The sequence below is a fragment of the Homo sapiens genome, chromosome 9 (assembly GCF_000001405.40).
Source record: "Homo sapiens chromosome 9, GRCh38.p14 Primary Assembly".
NCBI lineage: Eukaryota > Metazoa > Chordata > Mammalia > Primates > Hominidae > Homo > Homo sapiens.
Genome location: NC_000009.12, coordinates 111,762,911 through 111,784,262, shown reverse-complemented (window position 1 = coordinate 111,784,262; position 21,352 = coordinate 111,762,911). Strand labels below are relative to the sequence as shown.

Below are 21,352 nucleotides of genomic sequence, written 5' to 3'. Positions count from 1 at the left end.
GAGAAGCCAATTTGTGGTCAGAGTCAACAGCTGTGCTTCGGCCAGATTATTAGGCATCTAAATGGATCATTAAGAAGGCAATTGGTTACATTAATCTTGAGCACAGCTGCTCAGGACAGTTTTCTGGGTGGCCTTGGCCTCCTTTCCTCACTTGAAGTTCTTAAGAATAACTATAAAATGTGCTGGGAATGCAACATTCTGAGATAAAGGAGGAGCTGGCCAGAACAGCCTACTCTCTGTGCCAGTCTTCCCCCACCCACAAAACAGGATGTCCTTCAGTGCTTTAGCCTAGCACGTCCTTTGATCTCAGAACATCAAACCCAGGTGGACTGCTTTCTGGGGTTCTTCAGCTGCTGTGCAAGTGTGGCATATGAAGACTTCATTTGCCCTGGGCAGCTTTCCTGAGCCTTACGGGACCAGTTCACAATGAATCCTAGGCTTCTGTTGTCCCTTGTTACCTATCTGTAAGTAATAAATCTACTTCATGTAACTTCCTGTGTATGGGTATTCTGTCTCACCATACTCAAACAAGTTGGTAATCGGTATACAGTGAACCTGCTTCTCAAGCTAGAGCTTCAAATTGGAGTTTTCAATATGTAAATTACACATAAACCTGTGAAACTAGATGAAGTCACTGAGAGCATGAGTATAAATAGATTAGAAGACCTAGGACAGAGCCCTGGAACACTCTAACAGTTAAAAGTCTGATGTAAAAGGAGTTACCTAAGAAGCGAGATAGGAAAATCAAATGATTCTGGCATAGAATTCTAAAGAAGAAAGTGCTTCAAGAAGGAAGTAGTAGTCCAATGTGTTGGGCTCCTGTTAAAAGCTCAAGTTATGTGAGGATAGTGAGTTGACCATTAGCTTGACTAAATGTAGGTCATTGATGACTTTGATAAGAGTGGTTTGCCTGGAATATTGGTTATTAATATGATTGGAATATAATTGGAGTGTGATAGGAATATATTGGAATATGATTGGAGTATGTTGAGAAGATAATGGGAAGTGGGAAAGTGAGAGAGTGAATTTGAATATTTTGGGGAATTTTGCTATGAAGAAAAATTTTTAAATGATGGACTAACTTATGGGAGAAGTGGAGTAAAGAGTTATTCTTTTTTGTTTTTTATGTGTGATTTTTAAAAAATACATGATGAGAGAGACTGTAAAATGTTTGCCAATGGAAACAATTTTGGTAAAAAGAGAATAAGATGATGCAGGAAAGAAAAAGGATAACAGGAGTAAAAGGGGATAGGATCAAGAGCACAGTTAGAGAAGTTAGTATTCAGTAGGAACTAAAATAATTCTTCCCCTGTGTAGATAGGAAGATAGAGTTTGCAGGTACTTATGCCAGTAAGTTGGTAGAATTGGTGGTGGAAAATGAGGTAGTTCTCTGTATCAGTTTTCTATGTGAAGGTAAGATCATACACTGAAAGTGGATAATGGAATGGACACTAAAGATTTGAAGGGGTAATATGTGAATTAGCTGTCTTAAAGAGCAAGAAAGCCAGTTTTGTTTTTGTTTCTTGTTTTTGTTTTTGTTTTTTTTTTAGACCTCATCTGTGGTCAAGAAAGCCAGTTTTATTAAGGGGTATACTATTATCATCTGTCAATGTTGGGTGGCCATTTGAAATTTGTAGTCATAATTTGGAATGAGTTCCTTTAGCACGGCTGGGTGATTTTTTTTCCAGTAATTTTCAACTGTTTTAGTGTACATACACAGAAAGTGTAGAGTAGGGGTTGTTCTAAGTTAGTACAAGAGAAAGAGAGGCAAGAGAATCAAGACTCTTTGAAAGCAATGGTTATGGGACTGGCTATGGAACCTAAAGTGTTCTAAGCAGTTTGCATGCCACATTACATTTAATCTTTACAACGACACTCTGAAAAGGCTATTCTTCCTAGTTTGTACATAAAAAAAACAGAGGTGCAAAAAGGTTGAGATGTTTACCCAAGATCATATAGATAATAAGTAGCAGTCCAAGGATTAAAATCTAGGCAGAGTGTTTCCAGAACCTGTACTCTTAACCACTAAACTTTTTTTCTTTTTTTATTTTGATATGAAGTCTTACTCTGTCTCCCAGGCTGGAGTGTAGTGGTGCTATCTTGGCTCACTGCAAGCTCCGCCTCCCGGGTTCATGCCATTCTCCTGCCTCAGCATCCCCAGGAGCTGGGACTACAGGCACCCACCACCACGCCTGGATAATTTTTTTCTATCTTTAGTACAGACAGGGTTTCACTGTGTTAGCCAGGATGGTCTGGATCTCCTGACCTCATGATCCACCTGCCTCAGCCTCCCAAAGTACCACTAAACTCTTGTATTTTTTTTCATGTTTTTCAATGAGGCACAGGCTTAGATGTTAAATGATTTGTTCAAGGTAACAAAACTAGTAAGAAGTAACACTGGTGGTAGGTGGAATACTCAGTTGTATATTCTGACAGTAGTATATGACATGGTCTTTCTCCTTAAGGAACCAAAGGTCTAATTTGGGAGATAAGCTATGTACACATACAAATTTATTTATTTATTTATTTATTTATTTACAGAGTCTCACTCTCACCCAGGTGCCCAGGCTGGAGTGCCATGGCACAATCTCTGCTCACTGCAGCCTCTGTTTCCCAGGTTCGAGGTATTCTCCTGCCTCAGCCTTCCAAGTAGTTGGGACTAGAGGCATGCACTACCATGCCCGGCTAATTTTTGTATTTTTAGTAGAGATGGGGTTTTGCCATGTTGGCCAGGCTGGTCTCGAACTCCTGGCCTCAAGTGATCTGCCTACCTCAGCCTTTCAAAGAGCTGGGATTACAGGCATGAGCCACTACGTGCCGCCTACAATTTTAAATATAGGACTGTATATGGTTGAGTACCCAAGTGCTACTGACAATATTATGGCCCTTCAAGGAGAATGTATCAGCTTGAGCTGGAATGGTTAATAGAAGCTTCATGAGGTATAGCATGAGCAGTTGAAAGGGACTATTTGGGATGGTAGTGCTGTATAAGCAAAAGAGAGGCTATAAAATGAGGGTGATATGTTCAGGTGATATTGTTCTAACTGTAGTTGATTGAGGGGCGGGGGTAGGTTGATGATAATGAGGATGACTATTCAAATATTTGGAATCAGGTATCACTTTGAAAAAATACATTTGTGAATAAATAAAGATAAAATCATAATGTAAAAGGTGAATGTTTGGCTTCCTTGAATTAAGTGTAAAAGAAAATTCTAGACATTAATGTTAACTATTATCCTTTCTAGTCTCAGCTGTTTCAGTTCCGGGAATGACAGATACCTCAGTCTTGGACCAATGGAAAGCAAGTTTCTTTGTGGAGGATTTCCTTGAGAAGTATGTATCCTTAATCTCAAATTTCTCTTTTACATCTAGTAGAAGATAAACAGTAAGTTCTCCAGATACCTAAAGAGGGAAAATCTCTTCCTTTATCTCTTCATGGATTTTCTTCTTTTATCTGAAGAAAAGGTCCTAATTTGAACCACAAAGGAGTGGTTAATAAGAGTGACTTATATCTTCTTTTTTAATTAGTAAACTTTCAATTAGTTTATCAATTAGTAAACTTTCTGTAGAAAGTAGCTATAAAAAGTCCTTTATATTAAAATTAGTCTTTTTTCCACCTATGTTATAAATACAGATTTAAGGCTATTTTGTAATATATTTGGTCAAAACATTATTTATTATTTAAGCATTCATCAAATATTCATTATCATCCTATATATTAGATACAGATATAAAAATGAATAAGACATTGTCTTAACCTTCAAAGAACACAAGAAAACAAAGAATAGAGTTTTATAAAGAAATAATTACAATACAATGTGCAAAGTACAATGACAGAGATAGGCACCCAGAGCATAATATGAGGAGGAACATCTAACCTGTTCTACATTGTAAACGTAGGCATAAAGTAGAGATTTTGGTGCAATTTAATAATTTACTCTGTTGCTTCACTTCATGCACAGAACGCTGATCCAGCCTAGGAGAGATTTTGTTATTATTCACATTTTCAAGTTTCTGTAATTTAAATTTTCCTTAGTTGTGCTTAAAAGAAACAAAAAAACATTGAAAGGTGTCTAGACTCTGGATACAGTGAAGCCCAATATACCATCTCTGTCACCTAGGAATTTAAAGTCAGGTTAGGAAAATAATAGATAAACATAGAAAAAATTAACAATGCAAGAATTAAATGGTAATATAGGATGACCAACATAAAGTCTATTACAAGGCATATAGCCAATTAGAAGTATGTATCATATGAGTAAACTCCTAGCAGCGAGGAAGCAGAAAGGCATAGTGAAAAAAGCTCTGCACTATGAATTAAAATATGTAGCTTTTAAGCCTTGACTGGAAAAGTCAAGTGCTAACTACTTTGCTGGTCATTTTACCTGTGACCCTCATTTTATCAGTATGATGATGATGGATCAGTGCTTCTCAAACTTTACTGTACATATGAATCCCCTGAGGATCTTATTAAAATGCAGATTCTGGTTCAATTAGTCTGTTTTGGAGCCTGAGATTCTGCAATTCTAATCTATTTCTAGGTGGTAATGATGCTGCCAGTCCAAAGACCTACCTTGAGTAACAAGATGCGAGACGATCTCTAAGATGTCTTTTCACCTTATGAGTTAGATTGGTAGAGCTGTGCATTTATAACTAGGAGAGGTCAGCTTCACAGAAGTAGGAATTGAGCTTGGGCTGGGCAATCAAAGAGAAATTAACTTGAGAGAAAGCATTTTGGGCAGAGGAAACAGCATGTCTCCAGGCATAGACACAGGAATATGCAATAAGTGTTTAGCAAAGGCAATAATTAGGCTAGTTTGGTGAAAACTAAATTATTGTTTCATAAGGTGAAAAAAGATCTTAGAGATCATCTCGCATCTTGTTACTCAAAGTAGGCCTTTGGACTGGCAGCATTAACACTACCTAGAAATAGATTGGAAATGCAGAATCTCAGGCTCCAAAACGGACTAACTGAATCAGAATCTACTTTCTGTCTGTTGATTTGCCTATTCTGGATATTTCACATAAGTGGAATCATACAATATGTGCTTTTATTGTGATTGGTTTCTTTTACTTAATATAATGTTTTCAGGGTTTATCCGTGTTGTCACATGTATCTGTGCTTCATCTCTCTCTCTCTCTCTCTCTTTTTTTTTTTTTTTTTGACACAGAGTCTCGCTCTGTCGCCTAGGCTGGAGTGCAGTGGTGCAATCTCAACTCACTGCAACCTCCGCCTCCTGGGTTCAAGTGATTCTTGTACATCAGCCTCCTGAGTAGCCGGAATTACAGGCATGCACTACCACATCTAGATAATTTTTGTATTTTTAGTAGAGATGGAGTTTCACCATGTTGGCCAGGCTGGTCTCAAACTCCTGGCCTCAAGTGATCCACCCGCCTTGGCCTCCCAAAGTGCTGGAATTACAGGTGTGAGCCACCATTCCCCACCAGTACTTTCTCTCTCTCTCTGTCTCTTTTTTTTTTTTTTTTTTTTTGAGACAGAGTCTCTCTCTGTCACCTAGGCTAGAGTGCAGTGGTGTGACCTTGGTTCACTGCAACCTCTACCTCCCAGGTTTGAGTGATTCTCCTGCCTCAGCCTCCCGAGTAGCTGATATTACAGGCATCCACTAACACCCCCAGCTAAATTTTTTGTATTTTTAGTAGAGATGGAGTTTCACCATGTTGGTCAGGATGGTCTCAAACTCCTGATCTCAGGTGATGCACCCACCACAGCCTCTCAAAACTGCTGGGATTACAGGCGTGAGCCACTGTGCCCAGCCCATTCATAACATTTTTTTACCACCTGAAATTATATTATATACTTATTTGTCTATCTTCCTTTTAGCAGATAAGCTCCATGAAGGAAAGAACTTTGTTTTGTTTACCACCCCATTCCCAGCATCTAGAATGGTGTTAGCACATTGTAGACACTCAATAAATAGTTTTGTTAAGTTTGCAAATGAATGAATAGGAGTAGATGAACTTACTCAAAAAGAATGATATAGAAGAAAAGCAAAGATAATTTAGAGTAGAAACCTGGAAAAGACCAGTGTCCACAGGTTATGCAAAGGAGGAGGCACCAGTGAAAACAGAATAAATATATTGGACAGGGAGGTGGATGAGGAGAGCCAGGAAACACTGATCTTCATAGATCTTGTATATCTACAGAAAGAAAATTGACTAGGTAGTCTCAAAACTGTAGTACCAATTATTGCTATAGAGTGCTGACCCTGTCAGCAACATTTATTTTAAAAAGACAGCACCTATGTAAGCACTAAGTTCAGTATATAACGATCCACATAGGAATCAATGATCTTAATGAATAATATGGACATGGAAGAGTTAAAATATTTTTTCTTCTACTTTGTATTTTCTTAGAGTAAAGGATAAATTCTAAAGCTTTCTCCACCTATGATTTTAAGATATGACACAATTGGTCTTTTCTCCAATTATATTGGAGAGTTATATTGATTTTGTTTCTTTCAGTCTGTACAAGGGTATTATTAGGGCTGAAATATTCCAGGATATTAGGAAAAACATATATTAGGATGTATAACTAAGTTGCCAATAATATATTTATCTATTGGAAGATCTCTTGTAATGCCAGCCATTCTAATGGTATGATACAGATATACCTGTTATCAATCAGGAAACAGGTAAGGGCAAGGTTAAAAGAGCCAAAAAGATGTCCTCAGGACTAGCAACAGTAGGAAGTTGAAACCGCCTTCGCAAAAATTGTAACTGAGGAAATTATGACAGTGAAAGAGATCAAACCTAACTGATTCCATCCTGCCTCGAACCTTTAAGCTGTCCTTGTTCATTCCTGGGTGTAGGCTGAACTAACCTTGGGAAGGAATTTAGTGTATGATTTGACTCTGAAACAAAATTGATAATAGCCTTTTCCTGAAAAGACCCACTTTTTGCCTGGGGACCAGACTGCGTTTGTAGGACTAACAAATTAGCTACAAGATTAGAAATTTTGGTTTAGGAGTCATGCGGCCTCTGGCTGCAAGAGTCTGAACCTCTCCAAATTGTTCCTCGGGATAACATCACTATTGTAAAACCAAAGATCAGGGCTTGAGATATTTTGCAGACCCTGCACTCTATGGATCAGCTGATACCACCTAGCTGGTAATCTGGCTCAACCAGTTCTGCGATCCCACCCAGGAGCAGAAGACCCCAAGAAAACCTCACTTCCACCCCCTATATTTCCATCTCCAACCTGAACAGTCAGCACTCCCCACTTCCCAAGCCCTTACCTGCCAAATTGTCTTTAAAAACTCTGATCCACAAATGCTCAGGGAGACTGATTTGAGTAATAATAAAAGACCGGTGTCCCGCACAGCTGGCTCTGCGTCTCTATCCATTGCAATTCCCGTCTTGATAAATCAGCTTTGTCTAGGCAGCGGGCAAGGTGAACCCGTTGGGCGGTTACAAAGTTGTTACCACCCTAAGGTTGAAGGAACAAGGTGCCTGGGCAGTTACCAACCTAGTAAGAACTACAGGAGTAGGGCTGTCTGACAAAAGATGTAACTTTTGGTGGAAGAGTGCAGCCAATTCCAAGCTGTGGCCTAACAGAGAAGTATTTGGGAGGAATAATATTCCAACCTGTCTCCCTCACCTTTGATCTTCTGCCAGTGCTTTCCATGGCTGAACCCATCTAGAAGCCAGAGAACAAGGAATCTTGGTTAGTTCATAGAGGTTAGCTTCCCAGGTTACGGAACAGAACATAAAAGGCTGGGTAATTTTATTGAGGAACGACATTGAATATCTAGCACAAGGGCAGTTTGGCAATGTGTGGCAAAACCTAAAAATCTGTATACTTTTAACTTTATCATTTCTGTTTTGAAGAAATATATTTCAGATTATTAGTGCATATAGATGTTCTTTGCATTGTTGCTTATAATAGCAAGCAATTATAACAAACTTAAATTTCCAACAATAGAGAATTGGTTGAATAAATTATGATTTACTGATACCCTGTTTATCCATTCAAATATTAGGTGAATGTACATTGATTGACATGTAAATGTGTTCATTCTTCATTTTTTTTACAGAAAAGAACAGGTTATAGAATACTGTTGTCATTAGTCCACTATTGTTTAAAGATTTTTTTAATTGAGAAATTTACATACTTTTTATATTTATCTTGAATGATGGGAATATAGATGTTTCTTCTCTGTGTCTGTTGGAATTTGATAATTTTTTCCACAGTGGACATATATTATCTACTAATAAAAGTGTTTTAAAATAGGACATACATAACATTAGTAATTTTATATTGTCACAGAAAAACAATTACAAGAATGGTGACCCAGATTAATTGTGAATTTGAGGAAGTTGTTCCAAGTTCAAATCCAGACTCCCAAATTGAAGTAGAGGAGGTCAGTTTATACACCCACATGGACTACAATGAAGTCTTTACCCCTGTCAGTTGTTTAGAAAAATGTTCAGCACTTCAAAACCAGAACCAAGGTAAAACGTTTATTTTATATTGTTGTAAAACATTTCTTACTGATATACACATATTCTTTTCAGTGAGTTTTTTGTTTGAGTTGAATAAAAAATTTTTTATTAAAGATCCACCTGCATAACTCTAAGCTTTGCCACATTAGGGCAGTATTTCCTCATTCATATTAATCCTCTTTGTAAGTTGGGTTATTTTTGGAGTTTAATTTGCTGGGCCTCAAAACAACCTGCAGAGATTTGATCATAGTATGCCTTCAACATACTGCTATAATGACATTGGCATCTTTTTAAGATCCCATGATATAGCAATCCAGTGTAATATTAAATTACTATATTATGAAGTGATGATTATATTTTAGTTTTTAAAACATAATAAATGTTTTCAGTCTCATCTAATTTATGTGAAACCAAGGTTCAAAGTGGAGATGGAATAGTTCCAGTATTAAGTTAGGAAATATACTCAGTTTTACAAACATACTCTCAAAAATAATTAAAAGTAGGCCGGGCACGGTGGCTTACTATGCCTGTAATCCCAGCACTTCGGGAGGCCAAGGTGGGTAGATCACCTGAGGTCAAGAGTTTGAGACCAGCTTGGCCAACATGGTGAAACCCCATCTCTACTCAAAATACAAAAATTAGCCAGGCATGGTGGCAGGCACCTGTAATCCCTCTACTTGGGAGGCTGAGGCAGGAGAATCACTTGAACCCAGGGGACGGAGGTTACAGTGAACCGAGATCGCGCCACTGCACTCTGGCCTGGGCAAAAGAGCAAGACTGAATCTCAAAAAAAAAATTTTTTTTTAAGTATATTTTATTCAAACTGGATTCCAAATGTCTCATCTTACTAGAGGATGTTGAATTCTTTCAACCATGTAAAAACTTGCTGAAAATTGCCTTTCTTGTATGTATAACAGCCTATTCTTTTTTTAAATTATAGAACTTAAGGTTCTATTATGTGATTATTACTATCATTTAAGAAATGCTACAGCTTCAACATGAAAAATAATTTGATTCTTTTACTGTTATTTTTATGTAGATATATAAATTATGTATAAAATTTTTAGCATTGGCAAATAGCTGTGTGATGATATATATATAGAGAGAGAGAGAGAGAAATTCCTCTTATAGTTGGAAGAGATAGAGAGATTAGTTGCATTAAGAACTAAAACTTGAGAGCATGATATAGTAGAAAGAGCCTGAATTTGGAGTCAGAAGACTTGAATTTTCAGTCCAAGTCTACTCGTAAAAAGTGGAACATCACTTGAGGCCAGGAGTTTGAGACCAGCCTGGGCAACATGGCAAGACCCTGTCTCCACAAAAAGATTGTTAAAAATTAGCCAGGTGTGGTGGCAGTTCTGTAGTCCTAGCTATTTGTAAGGCTGAAGTGGGAAGATTGCTTGAACCCAGGTGTTCAAGGCTGTAGTAAGCCATGATCGTGCCACTGCACTCCAGCTTGGGTGACAGAGTGAGACCCTGTCTGGAGAAAAAGTGGTTTTGAGATTTGGGAGAAAATTTTTAAGATTTTTAAATTTTGTTCTATAATTTATTTCTATTATATATTCTTCTATTTTTTAATAATTTTTTGTGGGGATAAACTAATATATGTAAGTTTATATAAGTATATTTAAAGAGATGGCTTATAAAAACTAATGGGTTACACAAACATAGTAGTATAAATGTGGCAAACTAGAAGCTACTGTCGGCTAGAATCAACTATTGACTGAGAGAAAATATGCTTGAATTTCCCAAATGCATACACATTGTCCATATCCTATATTTCCTCAGGTGTCCTGTGTCACCGGACATCACTTTATAAATTTAGATTTTTAATTTTATTTATTTTCTTTGCAATTATATTGATTGCTGCCAGATTTGTAGATAATTTGGTCTTATTGTCTAAATCAAAAGGAACATAGTATATTTGGGGATTTGTAAATATGCTATGTCTTATAAGAATTATAAATAATTACTAAATTATAATTTCAAAACACATATATCTTTAAAACATAAAACAGTGGCTGGTTTTCTTTTATGGTTGTTGGTTTATTGATATTTGCTAATTTTTCTACAATGTTCACATATTATTTGTTAATACATGAAACTCTTAAGCATCTCTCTAGGTATCCTGGGAACATATAAACAAATATAAATGTAGCTTTTATTTTTATTTTAAAAAATAAAGTTAGGCCAGCCACAGTAGCTCATGCCTGTAATTCCATCACTTTGGGAGACTGAGGCGGGTGGATCACCTGGGGTCAGGCGTTCGAAACCAGCCTGGCCAACGTGGTGAAACCCTGTCTCTACCAAAAATACAAAATTAGCTGGGCGTAGTGGCAGGCACCTGTAATCTCAGCTATTTGGGAGGCTGAGGCAGGAGAATCACTTGAACCTGGGAGGCAGAGGTTGCCATGAGCCGAGATCACACCATTGCCCTCCAGCCTAGGCAACAAGAGTGAAACTCCATCTCAAAAAATAATAAATAAAAATAAAATAAAATAAATAAAGTTGCATATGCATATAGTTTAGAGAGTCAAATAGTTTGTTAAAGTTTACAATAAAAAGCAGTAATCTGACTTATCGTTTTAAAATGGTGGCACAGAAGCAAGCTGGCTTCACTGCTCATATGGGAAACCAAAAACAAATATACAATGCCAAAATTTTCACTAGCAACAACTCACATCTCAAATATGAGGATGAGACAGATCCTAGGGACACAGAGAAGTGAAAAAACTTCAAGCAGACGGTAGGAGAATCCAACTTCCATATCCATGATGCCCCACCCTGCCCATTCTGCCTGACAACAACCACATGGAAAATCTTCCCCAAACTCATGGTTTCTATGCTGGAAAAAGTGAGAGTGGCATAGTCAACTAGCTTTCCCTCCATCTTGGATTCCCTGGCAGGAGACTTCTTTATTTAACCTGTGGAAAGCATCATGACTGCCTGAAAGGAGAGACAAAGAGGGGAGAAGGGACTACCTTCCCCAGCCCTGGAAACTCTGCTCGGTAACTCAGGCAAAGGAGCCAAATCACAATAGCTAATTTGTGCCACAGGTCCCTTGGGCACGAACCTCTAGCCAGACTTCTGTCACTGTTGGGATAATCATTTTCAGACTCTCCCATTTGGGGCAGACAGTGCCCTGACCATTTGCTAGAGGCAAGGCAAACCTGGGCTTAAGATATCACCTATAGCCAAGAAAAAGGCAATAGTAGTGAAGATTTGCTAAGAAAATATATCCAATAAAAACCAAGACAAGTTGAATAGAGGAAGCTGGAATAAATAACCAATCCTTCAATGCAAAGACATAGACATATACCCACAAGAAACAACACTGAATAGGGAAATGTGACCTCTGCAAAAGGACAAAGGAAAAATCCAGTGACCGACCCTAACAAGACAGTCATTTGTGAGCTCTCTGACCAAAAATTCAAAAGAGCAGTTTCAAGGAAATTCAGTGATCTCTAAAATAATACAGAAAAGCAATTCAGAAAATTGCTGGAGAAATTTAACAAAGAGAATTTGTTAAATTTTTAAAGTTAACTTTAAAAACTCAAACAAATTTTGGAACTGAGAAATACGTTTGCTGAGCTGAACAACTAATTAGAGGCTCTCAACATCCAAATGGAACAACCAGAGGGAAGAATCAGTGAGCTCAAAGACCAGCTATTTGAAAATACAGTCAGAGGAGAAAAAAGAAAAAAGAAAGAAAAAGAACAAAAACTGCCTACAAGATATAGAAAATTACCTCAAAAACCAAATCTAAGAATTCTTGATGTTCAAAAGGGAGCTGAGCAAAGGCAGAGGGCAGAAAGAAAAAATACAAAATTTTCCAGAGCTTGAGAAAGATATAAATCTCCAGTACGGGAAGGTCTGATAATACCCAAGAGATTCAACCCAAATAAGACTACCCCAAGGTATGTAATAACCAAACTCTCAAAGGTCAAGGACAAAGAGAGGATCTCAAAAGCAGCAAGAGAAAAGAAGCAAATAACATATAAAGGACCTCCAATTCTTCTGGTAACAGACTTTTCAATGAAAAACCATACAGACAGGAGGGAGTGGAACAACATATTCAAAGTGCTCAAAGAAAAAAAAAGCCATCTAAGAACACTGTATCCAGCAAAATTACCCTTTGAATATGAAGGAGAAATAGTCTTTCCCAAACAACTAAAGTTCAGAGAATCCACCCCCATCAGACCCATCATCTTACAGTAAATGGTAAAGGGGGTTCTTCAATCTGAAAGGAAAAAAAACAACATTAACATACAAAAAGAAAACTTTCCTTTATTTACCCACTGGTAAAATTAAGTACATGAATACTTAATTTTAAGAATTCTCTAGAATACTGAGAATACTCTGTTACAATAATTGTGGTGTGTAAGCACTCATAACTCTAGTATGAAGCCCAATCAAAAACAATAGCTATAGCAACCTGTTAAGAGATGTAATATAAAAATATGTAAATTGAGACAACTAAGTCAAAATGTGGCATTTTGTGTGTATGTGTGTTTGTCTTTGTTTCTATTCCTTTCTTTGTAATCCAAAATATTATCTCTTTAAAATAACTTTTTATATCTATACAATGTTTTTTGTAACCCTCCTGGTAACCACAGCCCAAAAACCTACAATATATTCACTAAAAATAAAAAACAACAAATTAAAACGTACTATCAGAGAAAGTAACCACCAAAGAAGACAGTAGGAAAGAAAAGAAAGGAGTCTTAAAACTATCAGAAAATAGGCAACAAAATGGCAGTAGTAAGTCTTTACTTAATAGTAACACTGAATGTAAATGGTCTCAATTTTCAAATAAAAAGCTTAGAATGGCTGAAGGAATTAAAAAAGCAAGACCAAACTATATGCTGCCTTCAAGAAACTCTCTTCACTTATAAAGACACACAGACTGAAAGAGAAGCAGTGAAAAATGATATTCCATGCAACTGGAAACCAAAAATAGCAGGAGTAGCTATACTTATATAAAATAGACTACAAATCTAAGATTGTAAAAAGAGACAAAGATGATCATGAAAGGGGTCAATTAAGCAAGAGGGTATAACAATTATAAATATCTATGCACACAACACCAGAACTCCTAGGTATATAAAGCAAACATTAATATCTAAAAGGGTAGACTGCAATATAATAATAGTAGCGGACTTTAACACCCCACTCTCAGTAATGGACAGATCATCCAGACAGAAAATCAACAAAGAGCATAAACTACACACTAGAATAGGCCTAACTAACATTTACAGAACATTTCACCCATATGATAGCTAACTTCATACTGTGTATTTTGTGCTGCAGAATACATATTCTTTTCATCAGCACATGGAATATTCTTCAGAATAGACCATATCTTAGGCCACAAAATATATCTGAAAAAATTTTCAAAATAGAAATCATATCAAGTAGCTTTTCTGACCACAATGAAATAAAACTAGAAATCAGTAACAAGAGGAACTTTGGAAAATGCACAAACACATGGAAATTATACAACATGGTCTTAAATGGCCAATGAAAAAGTTAAGAAGGAACTTTTAAAATTTCTTCAAACAAATAAATGAAAATGGAAATAAAACATACCAAAATCTATGGGGTATGGCAAGAGCCCAGTACCAAGAGGGAAGTTTATAGCAATAAATGCCTGTATCAAAAAAGTAGAAAGACTTCAAATAAAATAACTTAATGTTGCACCTCAAGGCACTAGAAAAGAAAGAACAAACCCCAAACTGGTAGAAGGAAAGAAACAATAAAGATCAGAGCAGAAATACATGAAACTAAGACTAAAAAAAAAAAAAAAAAAAAAACAAAAAAAAAACAGAAGATAAAACCTTTCGCTAGATTAAGTAGGAAGAGCACAAACCTGAATAAATAAAATCAGAAATGAAAAAGGAGACATAATAACTGAGACCTCAGAAATACAAAGAATCATTAGCAAGTATTATGAACAAATATATGCCAACAAATTGGAAAACTTAGAAGAAATGGATACATTCCTGGACACATACAACCTATCAAGATTGAATCACAGGCATGGTGGCTTATGCCTGTGCCCTAGCACTCTGAGAGGCTGAGGTGGGTGGATCACTTGAGGTCAGGAGTTCAAAACCAGCCTGGGCAACATGGTGAAACCTCACCTCTACAAAAAATATTAGCCAATTGTGGTGGCATGTGCTTGTAGTCCCAGCTACCTGAGAGACTGAGGTGGGAGGATTGATTGAGCCTGGGAGGTTAATGCTGCAGTGAGCTGTGATCATGCCACTGCACTCCAGCCTGGGTGACAGAGTGAGACCCTATGTCAAAAAAAGGAAAAAAAGTTTGAACTATGAAGAAATAGAAAACCGCAACAAACCAATGATGAGTAATAAGATTGAAGCCATAGTAAAAAGCCTCTCATCAAAGAAAAGCCCAGAACTTGATGACTTCACTGCTGAATTCTACCAAACATTTAAAGAACTAATAGCAATCCTACTTAAATGCTTCTAAACAATTGAAGAGGAGGGAGTATTTCCAAACACATTCTACAAGGCCAGCATTACCCTGATACCAAAACCAGACAAGGACACAACAAGAAAAAAGAAAACTACAGACCAATATCAACAATGAACATAGATACAAAAATCGTCAACAAAATACTAGTAAACTGAATTCAACAACACATAAAAAAGATCATTCACCATGATAAAGTGGGATTCATCCTAGGGATGCAAGGATGGTTCAACATATACAAATCATTAAATGTGACACATCACATTCAAAGAATCAAGAATAAAAACCGTATGATTATTTCAATAGGTGCTGAAAAAAGCATTTGATAAAATTCAACATCTGTTTATGATAAAAACCATCATCAAAATAGGTATAGAAGGAACATACCTCAAAACAATAAAGGCCATATATGATAGTTAACTTCATACTGAATGGGAAAAAATTGAAGGTCTTTCTTCTAAGGACTGAAATAAGACAACGATGTCCATTTTCAGCACTTTTATTCAACATAAAACGTGAAGTCCTGGCCAGAGCAATTGAGCAAGAGAAAGAAATAAAGGGCATTCAAATTGGAAAGGAAGAAATCAAATTAGCCTTGTTTGTAGATAACATGATGTTATAGCTAGAAAAAACAAAGATTTATGCAATTTACCCATGTAACACATGTTACCCCTTGAACCTAAAATAATAGTTGGAAACAAAAATTTAAAAAACCCAAAGACTCCACCAAAAAACTGAGTTGATAAGTGAATTCAGTAAAGTTGCAGAACACAAAATCAACATAATGGCTGGGCGCGGTGGCTCACGCCTGTAATCCCAGCACTATGGGAGGCCAAGGTGGGTGGATCACCTGAGGTCAGGGGTTTGAGACCAGCCTGACATGGTGAAACCCTGTCTCTACTAAAAATACAAAAATTAGCTGGGTGTGGCTGTGTGCACCTGTAATCCCAGCTACTCAGGAGGCTAGAGGAGAATCACTTGAACCCTGGAGGCGGAGGTTGTAGTGAGTTGAGATTTCACCACTGCACTCCAGCCTGGGTGACAGAGTAAGACTCCATCTCAAAAAAAAAAAAAAATTTAACATACAAAAATCAGTAGCATTTATATACACCAACAGTGAACAATCTGAAAAAGAAATCAGGAAATCAATGCCATTTACAATAGCTACAAAAAATATAAAATACCTAGAAATCATTCTAACCAAAGAAGTGAAAGATCTATATAAGAAAAACTATAAAACTCTGATGAAAGAAATTGAGGAGGACACACAAAAAAGGAAAGATATAATATTTCATACTCATGAATTGAAAGAATATTACTAAATTAATATTGCCAAAATAACAATACTATCCAAAGCAATTTACAGATTCAGTGCAATCCCTATCAAAATACCAAAGAAGTGAAAGACCTGTAGAAGAAAAACTATAAAACTCTGATGAAAGAAATTGAGGAGGACATACAAAAAGGAAAGATACATATTTCATACTCATGGATTGAAAGAATTAATATTGCTAAAATAACAACAATATCCAAAGCAATTTACAGATTCAATGCAATCCCTATCAAAATACCAATGATATTCTCCACAGAAATAGAAAAATAAAACCCTAAAATTTAAATGGAATCACAAAAGACCCCAAATAGCCAAAGCAATCCTGAGCAAAAAGAAGAAAGCTGGAAGCATCACAATGCCTGATTTCAAAATATACTCCAAAGCCATATTAACCAAAATAGCATGGTACTGGCATAAAAACAGACATATAAACCAATGGAACAGAATAGAGAACCCCACTATAAATCCAGTCATTTACAGCTAACTCATCTTTGACAAAGGCACCAAGAACATACAATGAGAAGATAGTCTTCAATAAATGGTGCTGGGAAAACTAGAAGACTATATGCAGAAGAATGAAACTAGATCCCTATCTCTCACCATGCACAAAAATCAAATAAAAATGGATCAAAGACTTAAATCTAAAACCTGAAACTGTGAAACTACTAGAAGAAAACATTGGGGATATGCTCCAGGACATTGGTCTGAGCTAAGATTTTTTGTATAGGATCTCAAAAGCAGAGGCCACCAAAGCAAAAATAGACAAACAGGTTTACATCAAGCTAAAAAGCTTCTGCACAACAAAAGAAACAATCATAAAGTGAAGAGACAACCCACAGAATGGGAGAAAATATTTGCAAACTATCCATCTGACAACAGATTAATAACCATAATATACAAGGAGCTCACACAACTGAATAGCAAAAAAAAAAATCCAATTAAAAATGGGCAAAAGATATGAACAGACACTTCTCAAAAGAAGAAATGGCCAACAGATTTATGAAAAAATGCTCAACATCACTAATCATCAGAGAAATGCAAATCAAAACCACAATGAGCTGGCCAGGCGTGGTGGCTCATGTCTGTAATCCCAGCACTTTGGGAGGCTAAGCTGGACGGATCACCTGAAGTCAGGCATTTGAGACCAACCTGGCCAACATGGCAAAACCTTGTCTCTACTAAAAATACAAAAATTAGCCAGGCGTGGTGGCAGCCATCTATAATCCCAGCTACTCTGGAGGCTGAGGCAGGAGAATTGCTTGAACCCAGGAGGCAGAAGTTGCAGTGAGCCAAGATTGCGCCACTGCACTCCAGCCTGGGCAACAGGAGCGAAACTCCATTTCAAAAACAAAAAAACCAAAAACAAAAAAAAACACAATGAAATTTCACCCAAGTTAAAATGGCTTGTATCAAAAAGGTAATAACAGATGCCAGCAAGGATGTGGAGAAATGGGAACTCTTGTACACCATTTGTGGAAGTGTAAATTAGAACAGCCACTATGGAGAGCAGTATGGAGACTTCTCAGCAAAACTAAAAATAGAACTACCATATGATCCAGCAGTTCCACTTCTGGAAAAGAAAGGAAATTATATCAAAAAGACATCTGCACTCCCATGTTTATTGCAGCTCTATTCACAATAGCCAGATATGTAATCAACCTAAGTGCCCAGTAGTGGATGAATAAACAAAATGTGGTATATCTACACAATGGAATATTATTCAGCCACAAAAAAGAATGAAATTCTGTCATTTGCAGCAACATGGATGGAACTGGAGGCCTTTATGTTAAGTGAAATAAGCCAAGCACAGAAAGACAAATAGTGTATGTTCTCACTCATGTGGGAGCTAAAAAAGTGGATCTCATGAAGTTAGAGAGTAGAATGGTGATTACCAGAGGCAGGGAAGGGTAGTAGGGAAGGGGGATGAGGGGGAAAAAAGAACATAATGTATTTATTACCACTGAACTGTACACTTAAAAATAGTAAAGATGGACTAGGCACGGTGGCTCATGCCTGTAATGCCAGCACTTTGGGAGGCCAAGACAGGCAGATCATGAGACCAGCCTGGCCAACATGGTGAAACCCTGCCTCTAAGCTGGGTGTGGTGGTGTGCACCTGTAATCCCAGCTACTTGGGAGGCTGAGGCAGGAGAATTGTTTGAACCTGGGAGGCAGAGGTTGCAGTGAGCCGAGATCGTGCCACTGCACTCTAGCCTGGGTGACAGAGTGAGACTCTGTCTCAAAAAAAAAGTAAAGATGGTAAATTTTAATAGGCATATTTTACCTCAAAATATAAAAATACAAAAAGAAAGATGGAAAGAACTTGGGTCCCTGAAAATATTGTCAAGCTTGTTTTGTTTTTGTTTTGTTTTGTTTTGTTTTTGAGTCAGAGTCTTGCCCTGTCGCCCAGGCTGGAGTGCAATGGTGCAATCTCTGCTCACTGCAACCTCTGCCTCCTGGGTTCAAGTGATTCTTGTGCCTCAGCCTCCCGAGTAGCTGGAATTACAGGCACATGCCACCACACCCATTGTATTTTTAGTAGAGACAGGGTTTCCCCATGTTGGCCAGGCTGGTCACGAGCTCCTGGGCTCAAGTGATCCTTTCACCTTGGCCTCGCAAAGCACTGGGATTACAGGCGTCAGCCACTGTGCCCAGCCAAAACCCAGAGTTTTGAGTTAATCTTTGGTATAATTCTTTGTTATCTTCAGCCAAAGGTAATATTTGTATGCTTTTTAGTGTTTTTTACTTAGATTTTATAAACACTTTTCTGTGTCATTTTATATTTTCCACACCATCAATTAAAATGGTTGTATAACACTTTTTTTTTTTTTTGAGACGGAGTCTTGCTCTGTTGCCCAGGCTGGAGTGCAGTGGCGTGATCTCGGCTCACAGCAACCTCTGCCTCCCGGGTTCAAGTGATTCTCCCGCCTCAGCCTCCCAGGTAGCTAGGATTATAGGCATGCGCCACCATGTCCAGCTAATTTTTATATTTTTAGTAGAGATAGAGTTTCGCCATTTTGGCCTGGCTGGTCTCGAACTCCTGACCTTAGGTGATCTGCCCATCTTGGCCTCCCAAAGTGCTGGGATTACAGGCGTGAGCCACCGTGCATGGCCAACACTTTTCTTAAAAGCAGTAATTTCCTGACTTCATCAACCACCCCTTATTTTTTCACTCTCTAGAGGCAACCACTTTTAACTCTTTGAAACAGTTTTAAAAGAAACTATATTCCTTTTGTCATTTGTTTATCTGCATGACATGCTTATACTGCTATTTCCTGATGTTTTTAGTTTTAGACCTTATATATTGACCTCTCACCATGAAAATAAAGATGTTGCTGTCCTCAATCTTTTATACCCTCACTACCACGTTCCCCCCATACTTCCTATGGTCTACTCTCCCAATGTAGTTATAACTTTGGTTAGATCAGTATTCTGTATTTACAGAATTATGAATGCATAAATACTATTTGTAGCTGAAAATAGTATTGTGTTATTCAATAATTTCTTTATTGTACAATAGTCCCCCCTTATCCACAGTGGATACATTGCAAAATACCAGTGGATGCATGAAATCACTGATAGTACCAAACCCTATACAGTATATACAATGTTTTGTCTTATACATACATACCAATGATAAATTTTAATTTGTAAATTAAGCACAGTAAGAGATTAACAGCAATAAATAGCTAACAATAAAATTGGAGAATTAAGTAAAACAAAGGTTATTTGAACACAAGAACTGCAATACAGGGACAATCGTTCTGATAACTGAGACAGCTACTAAGTGACAAATGAATAGGTGGCATATCAGTGTGGAAACAGTGGACAAAAGGATCATTCACATTTTGGTGGGACTGAACAGGATGGCACTAGGTTTCATCATGCCACTCACAACACCGTGCAATTTAAGGCATAAATTGTCTATTTCTGGAATTTTCCATTCAATATAGTATTTTTGGACTGCAGTTGACTGTGGGTAACTGAAACCTCAGATAAGAGGAGATTACTGTACTCCGTGTTAATGCTTGTTTTCTGTTTTTTTGTTTTGTTTTGTTTTCTATGTATTTAGTACATAGAACTTGATCCTGAAACTCTCCCCTGTTTGTCTAAATCTCCTCTTAATACACTGAAGCATCAAGTGTACCAATAGTTTTATCTTTGGGGATTTTAGTTCTAGAACAAGTCGTTATCACCATCATCCCTGAGGATTCTGTTCACTTCTTTCTTGTATTGGGCCTCCTGTTTCTTCAACCTTGTAGCTGCCAGTTTAGTCAGTTTTTTCGTTCCTTTTAGTACAGTACTTCCACTCACAGCCTCCTGAGAATAGGAATGTAGGTAGTAAATTTTTTTTAATCTTCCATATCCAAAAAGTCTTAATTCTATCCTCACATTTAATTGATAGTTTGACTAGTTATAGATTCCAGATTATATTTTTTTCTCAGAATTTCAAAGGCATTGTTCCATTCGATTCTAGCTTCCAATATTGCTGTTGAGAAGTCCAATGCCATTCTGATTCCTAAATATTTTTTATAAGATCTTTTCATCCTGAAAATTTTAATGATATTTTTCTTCCAGTGTTATGAAATTTCACAATGGCGTGTGCTTTGTGGGTCTATTGTTATATATTAGGCTGGATACATGGTGTATCCTTCCATGTAGATACTTTTATGCACTTCAATTTTAAGATATTTTCTAGAATTATTTCTTTGATGATAATTTTCTCTTGTTCTCTCTCCTGAATCTCCTATTGTTCATTTATTGAGGTCTTTAATGTATTTCAAAAAAGTTTAAAATTTTTCTTCATAAAGATTTTATATATCATTTATTTTTTATATATTTTTTATTTTCTTCAGAAATAGGTTATGTATCCAAGATTTATCCATAAGTACTCTATTTTAGCTGCCATTACTATTTATATTTCTAATATAAGTTTGTTTATTGCTTGTATATAACAAAAGGCAGTTGATTTTTATAGTGTTATCATATTTATCTACCTCTTAAACTGTCATAGTAATTCCAATAACTAATTCTAGTATATATAATCATATTGTCTGTGAAT

The 21,352-nt window shown here is 36.9% G+C and overlaps 1 protein-coding gene across 14 annotated transcripts in view, besides 1 other annotated feature; it reads left to right on the top strand.

Moving 5' to 3' along the window:
* SHOC1 (shortage in chiasmata 1) overlaps positions 1–21,352 on the top strand; it is a 108,767-nt gene that overhangs the window by 10,675 nt on the left and 76,740 nt on the right. For 8 of the 14 annotated variants that reach the window (NR_109816.2, XM_006716975.3, NM_001378211.1 and 5 more), the window contains exons 4-5: positions 3,246–3,333; positions 8,288–8,472. Coding sequence is in view for 12 of the 14 variants with exons in the window: in XM_006716975.3 (XP_006717038.1) it covers positions 3,246–3,333; positions 8,288–8,472 (273 nt within the window). In the remaining 2 variants the exon portion in view is untranslated. Of the gene's footprint in view, positions 1–298; positions 465–769; positions 876–3,245; positions 3,334–8,287; positions 8,473–21,352 lie in introns of those variants that run through there. The other 6 variants (XM_011518302.3, XM_011518303.2, NM_173521.5 and 3 more) reach the window with 6 other exon arrangements.
* Positions 435–604: an enhancer, noted in NCBI's record as "experimental_105998 CRE fragment used in MPRA reporter constructs". NCBI's record gives its function as "activates a minimal promoter by MPRAs in K562 erythroleukemia cells, with activity observed for both the introgressed and non-introgressed 9:114546024 variant alleles {active_cell/tissue: K562}" and the evidence as "EXISTENCE:reporter gene assay evidence [ECO:0000049][PMID:34662402]".